Raw genomic sequence first — 7,167 nt, 5'->3', positions numbered from 1 at the left:
TGTTAAGCTCATGGAAAAGTGCCTGTGTTAAAATTTTCTTCTATATCATTATATAATTTTATGATTTTCATTTTCATCTACAAGTATGTTTGCATTTCTTTTTCTGTTTTCTTTCCCCCTTTTTTTTTTTGGTGGTATCAGCACATATGCACCATTCTGATTTCTTTATAATTTTTACCTGTTTCGCTGGAAGGACTTATGTATAGTTGCAGTATTTACTAAATAATTGTGAACAGACATGAAATGTGAGAAAGCTGGAGAGGCATCCAGTTCATTTTATAAACCTGGTTTCAGAATATTTTCTCATTCAATTTATTCAACAGATACGTACTTATTGAACAATGTATTAGTTTGCCAGTGCTACTGCAACAAAGTACCACACACTGAGTGGTTTAAATTATAGAAATTATTGTCTCATGGTTTTAGAGAATAGAAGTCCAAAATCAAGGAGACAGCAGGATTGGTTCCTGGTGAAAGCTGTGAGGGAAGAATCCATCTCAAGTCCTCTCTTCTCAACTTGTAGGTAGCTATTTTCTCCTTATATCACTTGTTCCTATCCACATCTCTTTGTTCACATTCTCCTTTTTTATAAGGACATTAGACATAATATATTAAGCCTGATCTAATAACGTCATTTTAACTTGATTACCACTCTAAAGACCCTATCTCTAAACAACATCACATTCTATGGGCCTGGGGTCTAATACTTCAACCTATGCATTTTTGGGGAGTACACAATCCAACTCATAACAAGCAATGACTTGTTTCAGACTCTCTTTAAGATTCTTGATCTCCAACAAAGAGCAACAACCATTAAAAAAAAGAAATACAACAACCCTACTTTTCTGGAACCTACTCCAACTTGGGGGAAAGGACAGTATAAGGATGGGAGGTGCTATTTTGTATTGATGTCATGGAAAATTCTTTCTGATAAAGTACCACTGAGTATGTTATTTGACCATACCATGAGAAATAGCTACAGATATTTAAGGTGGAATTCCACTGTAGGAAGAAGAATAGACAGAGAGGTTCTGAGAAGATAATTATTCTGAGAAGAGAATCATTATAAAGAATATCAGGCCAGGCGCACTGGCTCACGCCTGTAATCCCAGCACTTTGGGAAGCCGAGGAGAGCAGATCACGAGGTCAGGAGATTGAGACCTTCCTGGCTAACATGGTGAAACCCCGTCTCTACTAAAAATACAAAAAATTAGCCGGGTGTGGTGGCAGGCGCCTGAAGTCCCAGCTACTGAGGCAGGAGAATGGCATGAACTCAAGAGGCGGAGCTTGCAGTTAGCCTAGATTACGCCACTGCACTCCAGCCTGGCCAACAGAGTGAGACTCCATCTCAAAAAAAAAAAAAAAAAAGAATATAAAAGGCTTCTCTTTTGCAAATCTGGAACGAGTAAGATGATATTGAGACGAGAGAATTTCTTACTGGTTAATGGGAGCCAGATCTGGCAGGACCATTTTGGCCATGGCAAGTTATTTAACTTTCATTCCGAGTGAATTGGAAAACCATTGCAAAGTTTAGGTTAAGAAAGAAGAGAAATGATGTGACTTACATGTAAAAGTATTTCTTTCACTCTGGGACAGTCAAAACACTAACTAGAATAAAGATGAAAGACAGGACATCAACTAGAAGGTTTCTGCAGTAGTCCAGTTGAAATATGATGGTTGCCTGGATTCATAGAAGTAGTGGTCCAGCTTTTGAGTATCAATCAAACTATAGATCTATTTATAAGGTAGAGCCATTGGTATTTTTTTCTCACATTGATTTGCAGAAATAAGTGAAAGATGACTCAAAGAGATTAGACTAAAATAGTCAATCAGATGGTTATTATTGAGGTATAACAAACTGGAAACAAGGGCTGGTTTGGGTGAGGAAATCATGTGTCTAGCGTTTGGAAATGTTAAATTTGGGATGCCTATTTTAGCTACACAGGAGGACTTGCAGATTGACATCTTGGTTTAATGAGTCTAGATTTTAAGAGAGAAAATTATGTGTACTAAATGACTTAATTAAATCAATTCAGAGAAGAAAAGATTCAACATGAATCATTAGTTTTAAATTAGTGTATATTTTGTTTAGAGCTTACCCAAATAGATTGCCGAACTTCACCCCTAAAGTTTCTTAAATATGCAAAAGTTTGAGAAGCACTGGTCTAGACCATTTCTGCCAAACATTCTGTAGCACAATAATCTTTTGAGTGTTTTGTTAAAGTTTAATAGTTTTGTATATCTAATATTTTTGTGATGTATTTTTCTATCTAGCATCTCTCATTGTAAGTACTTCAAAAATATTCTCTCATCTTCCTATCGTAGCATTTTGTTTCCATGTGCAGTTCAAGAAATATTAGAAATATTTAGAAAAACTTTTATGCCAATGTAAATAATGTATTACATTCATTTAAATAATTCTATAAAGTAACCATATATCATGGTAACTAGTGCTTTTTATTTACTGATTGTGCACCAAATAGTAGCTATATCATTTTACAATTTTCATATTATCAGAGATCATCCTTAATAGAAAACATGAATTATATAATTTTTAAATTATCTTGCACTTTGTTATGTTACAAAAACTTCATATATTATTAAAACTCAAATATACTTCCAATTATAAAAAATAGTGCTTGATAGTTATATTAGTCCATTTTCACGCTGCTAATAAAGACATGCCTGAGACTGGGAATTTACAAAAGAAAGAGGTATATTGGACTTACAGTTCTACATGGCTGGGGAGTCCTCATAATCATGGCAGAAGGCAAAGATGAGCAAGTCACATCTTATATGGATGGCAGCAGGCAAAGAGAGAGCTTGTGCAGAGAAATTTCCATTTTTAAAACCATCAGATCTTGTGAGACCCATTCACTATTATGAGAACAGCATGGAAAAGACCTGCTCCCATGATTCAATCAACTCTCACTCTCTCACCAATCAACTCTCACTGAGTCCCTCCAATAACACATGGGAATTATGAGAGTTACGAGATGAGATTTGGGTGGACACACAGAGTCAAACCACATAATTCTGTCCCTAGCCCCTCCACAATCTCATATCTTCACATTTCAAAACCAATCATGCCTTCCCAACAGTCCCCTAAAGTCTCAACTCATTTGAACATTAACTCAAAAGTCCACAGTCCAACATCTCATCCAAGACAAGGCAAGTCCCTTCTGCCTATGAGCCCATAAAATCAAAAGCAAGTTAGTTACCTCCTAGATACAATGCAGGTACAAACATTGGGTAAATACAGCCATTCCAAATTGGAGAAATTGGTCAAAACAAAGGGGCTACAGACCCCATGCAAGTCTGAAATCCAGCAGGGCAGTCAAATCTTAAAACTCCAAAATGATCTGCTTTGACTCCATGTCTCACATCCAGGTCATGCTGATGTGAGAGGGAGGTTCCCATAGTCTTGGGCAGCTCTGCCCCTGTGGCTTTGCAGGGTACAGCTCCCCTCCCAGCTGCCTTCATTGGCTGGTGTTGAGTGTCTATGGCTTTTCCAGGCACATGGTATAAGCTCTTGGTGGATCTACCATTCTGGGGTCTGGAGGACAGTGGCTCTCTTCCTACAGCTCCACTACGAGGTGCCCAAGAGGGACTCTGTGTGGAGGCTCGCATCCCCACATTTCCCTTCTGTACTAGCAGAGGTTCACCATTGGGACACTGCTCCTACAGCAAACTTCTGCCTTGGCATCCAGGCATTTACATATGTCTTCTGAAAACTAGGCAGAAGTTCCTGAATCTCAATTCTTGACTTCCATGCACTCTGCAGGCTCAACCCCACATAGAAGCTGCCAAGGCTTGAGGCTTGCATGCTCTAAAGCCACAGACCAAGCTCTATGTTGGCCCTTTTCAGCCATGGCTAGAGCAGCTGGGATACAGGGCACCAAGTCCCTAGGCTGCACACAGCACAGATATCCTGGGCCCAGCCCATGAAACCATTTTTACTCCTAAGCCTCTGTCCCGTAATGGAAGGGGCTGCCGCAAAGGCCTCTGACATACCCTGGAGATATTTTCCCCATTTTCTTGGTGTTTAACATTCAGCTCCTTTTTACTTATGCAAATTTCTGCAGCCGGCTTGAATTTTTCCTCAGAAAATGAGTTTTTCTTTTCTATTGCATTGTCTGTTTGCAAATTTTCTAATCTTTTGTGCTCTGTTTCTCTTTTGAAACTGAATGCCTTTAACATCACCCAAGTCACCTCTTGAATGCTTTGCTGCATAAAGATTTCTTTGACCGGATACTCTAACTTATGTCTCTCAAGTTGAAAGTTCCACAAATCTTTAGAGTAGGGTCAAAATGCCTCCAGTCTCTTTGCTAAAACATAACAAGAGTCACCTTTGCTCCAGTTCACCACAAGTTCCTCATCTCCATTTGAGATCCACCTCAGCCTGGATTTCATTGTCTATATCACTATCAGCATTTTGGTCAAAGCCATTCAACAAGTCTCTAGGAAGTTCCAAACTTTCACATATTTTCCTGTCTCCCCTCTAAACTGTTCCAACCTCAGCCTGTTACCCAGTTCCAAAGTCGCTTCAACATTTTTGGGTATCTTTTCAGTAACACCCCACTCCTGATACCAATTTACTGTATTAGTCAGTTTTCATCCTGCTTATAAAGACATACTTAAGACTGGCCAATTTACAAAAGAAAGAGGTTTATTGGACTTACAGTTCCACACGGCTGGGAAGGCCTCATAATCATGGCGGAGGGCAAGGAGAAGCAAGTCACATGTTACATGGATGTGTATCAGGCAAAGAGAGAGCTTGTGCAGAGACACTTCTGTTTTTAAAACCATCAGATCTCAGGAGTCCCATTCACTATCACAAGAACAGCATGGGAAAGACCCGCTCCATGAATCAATCATCTCTCACTAAGTCCCTCCCACAACGTGTGGGAATTATGGAAGGTACAAGATGAGATTTGTGGGGGGACACAGAGCCAAACCATATCAATAGTATTTTTGTATATTCTGAATATCTGGATATGGAATGGTTAAGAGATTTGGGAAAAATAATGTAAACAAATATATAGTGGTAAATCCATGATAAATATCTAAATGTTTTGATTCTTATTATATTTATTAATTATTGAAGTGAAACAGAATTGACAAACTCTAAAATAATTATGGCCCAAAGTAGCTGGTTAACTCTATGAGAAAATCTTTAGAGTTTTATTTTTCGTTAGAGTTTTGTCCATAGGAACTAGAATCATACCTTGCCCATAGTATAAATGACATCAAGAACTGTCTGAATTCAAGATGCACTTATATAAAACTATAGCACAAAATGAAACCTGCATCATAGAATGCTTCCCTCCTCTACTTCCACCTCTATACTCAAAGACGTTTATTTTGAAATTTGAATAAAAGGCTTCCTAGAGGATCAGAGCAGAAGCACCATCAGTAATAATGAGTAACACAGTTATTCACTAGTTTCTAAAACGTGCACACAATCTTGTGTCACTAGATAAAAGGTAGAGAGTTTTACTTGTTGACCTTTACATCCTGAAAGGCATTCAGTAATTCACAAATAAAGAGATTTGATTATTTCATACATTTCTGGAGGACAGATGTCACTACCTCAATTGGATGTAATTGGGAGGCTGGTGGAATTGTAAATGTTGCGGTCAAAGAGAAAATGTTTCTGGACTTAGAAGTCCCTTTTCATTCCTTCTGATTAACTCTATTAGAGAAGATGAATATTCCCCAGAGGAACTGACTTACCTCACATTAACCATGGCCTCGATGTTTTTTCTTTTCCTAAATAATCAGATGACCATATATATTAAGAAGTTATTAGTCTGACATTATTTCTCACAAGTAGAAATTATCTTAAATTAATGCAGATAAATATGTTTGCTACATCAATGGAGTTAATAATATGAATGGTATTGTCACGTTGTTTTCCTCCAGATATTTACAAGAACATAAGAAAGTTTGAGTTTCAAATAGTGGTCCACCCAATTGCCTCCCAGGACTTTCCCCAAACACCCACAGAAATATAACTGGATTTACAGCAGATCTAATTGCTGAGATTTTTAAGGAACTTTTTAAAGACATCCACAAATATCTTGGTTACAGCAGAATATATACACAGAATACATTGTTGGCAATTTTCCAATGTGGAAGTTAAATTGTTTGACTTCTTAGAAAAACAATTTCTGTGAAATTTTCAGAACTCATTTGAATTATTTCTCTTATAGGATAGACTCTTTTGAGACTTTTATCATGCCCTTCCTTGGCTGAAGAAAAAGAGATTAAGCCATTGTTTTCTTCATTTATACAACGAGATAGAAATATTATCAGAACTCCCCTGAGATTGCACTTGTTGTGCAAACTTAGATCAGATACCAACAAAGTTGTTTATAGCTTTATAAAAACAAGTCCTTAATGGTTCTTAAGGGATCACTTGAACTTCCTGGCTTAGAAAATTGCCACTTTAATTTTCTTTCAGGACACTTCAGGCTGAAATTTATAATTCTCCTTAAGTCTTAAACATAAGTTACATAATGCTGCCTGCAATTTTTCTAACTAAAAACAACCAGATTCACATGCTCTGAACTTGGAAAATGAATTTGTTATGTGACTTTTGCAGCAAGAGATGCACAGCACTGCATAAACAGTGAGGATTTGGTATATTCCCAAAGTTTTATACTTCATTTGTTGGATTTTACTTTCTATAATTTAATATATGAAATAAAAGGAATTGTAGTGGGTAAATAAAGCCAAGGTCTCTAGAGAAAGAAAATTCTGGATTTTTAATCTGGCTGCACAACTAATGACCTCTATGACTGTGTGTCTCAGTTTGCTTATTTTCAAAATGAGGATCTTCCTTTCACATTGTAGTTTGGATGATTGTGCTTACTGCATATAATGCATTCAACGCAATATGTGTTCAAAAATAAAATATCATAAGGCCTAAAATATCCAAATAATCAAGTTATATTTGTCAGAGTTCTTTCATTCATAGGTCATTTAAATCAAATTCAGAATAGTTTAAACAAACAAAAAAGTAAAAAACACAATAGCTCTCTTCATACCTCACTTGAGTCTTTGTATCTTTTGGCTTTATTCTCAGTAAAGATGTCTCCATATTATAGTAAACTTCTTAGTCATTTGTTCAGGCTTATCTGTTTCTCAGAAATTCTAGAGCAC

The sequence above is a fragment of the Homo sapiens genome, chromosome 10 (assembly GCF_000001405.40).
Source record: "Homo sapiens chromosome 10, GRCh38.p14 Primary Assembly".
NCBI classification, from domain to species: Eukaryota; Metazoa; Chordata; class Mammalia; order Primates; family Hominidae; genus Homo; species Homo sapiens.
Note: the sequence above shows the minus strand (reverse complement) of the source record.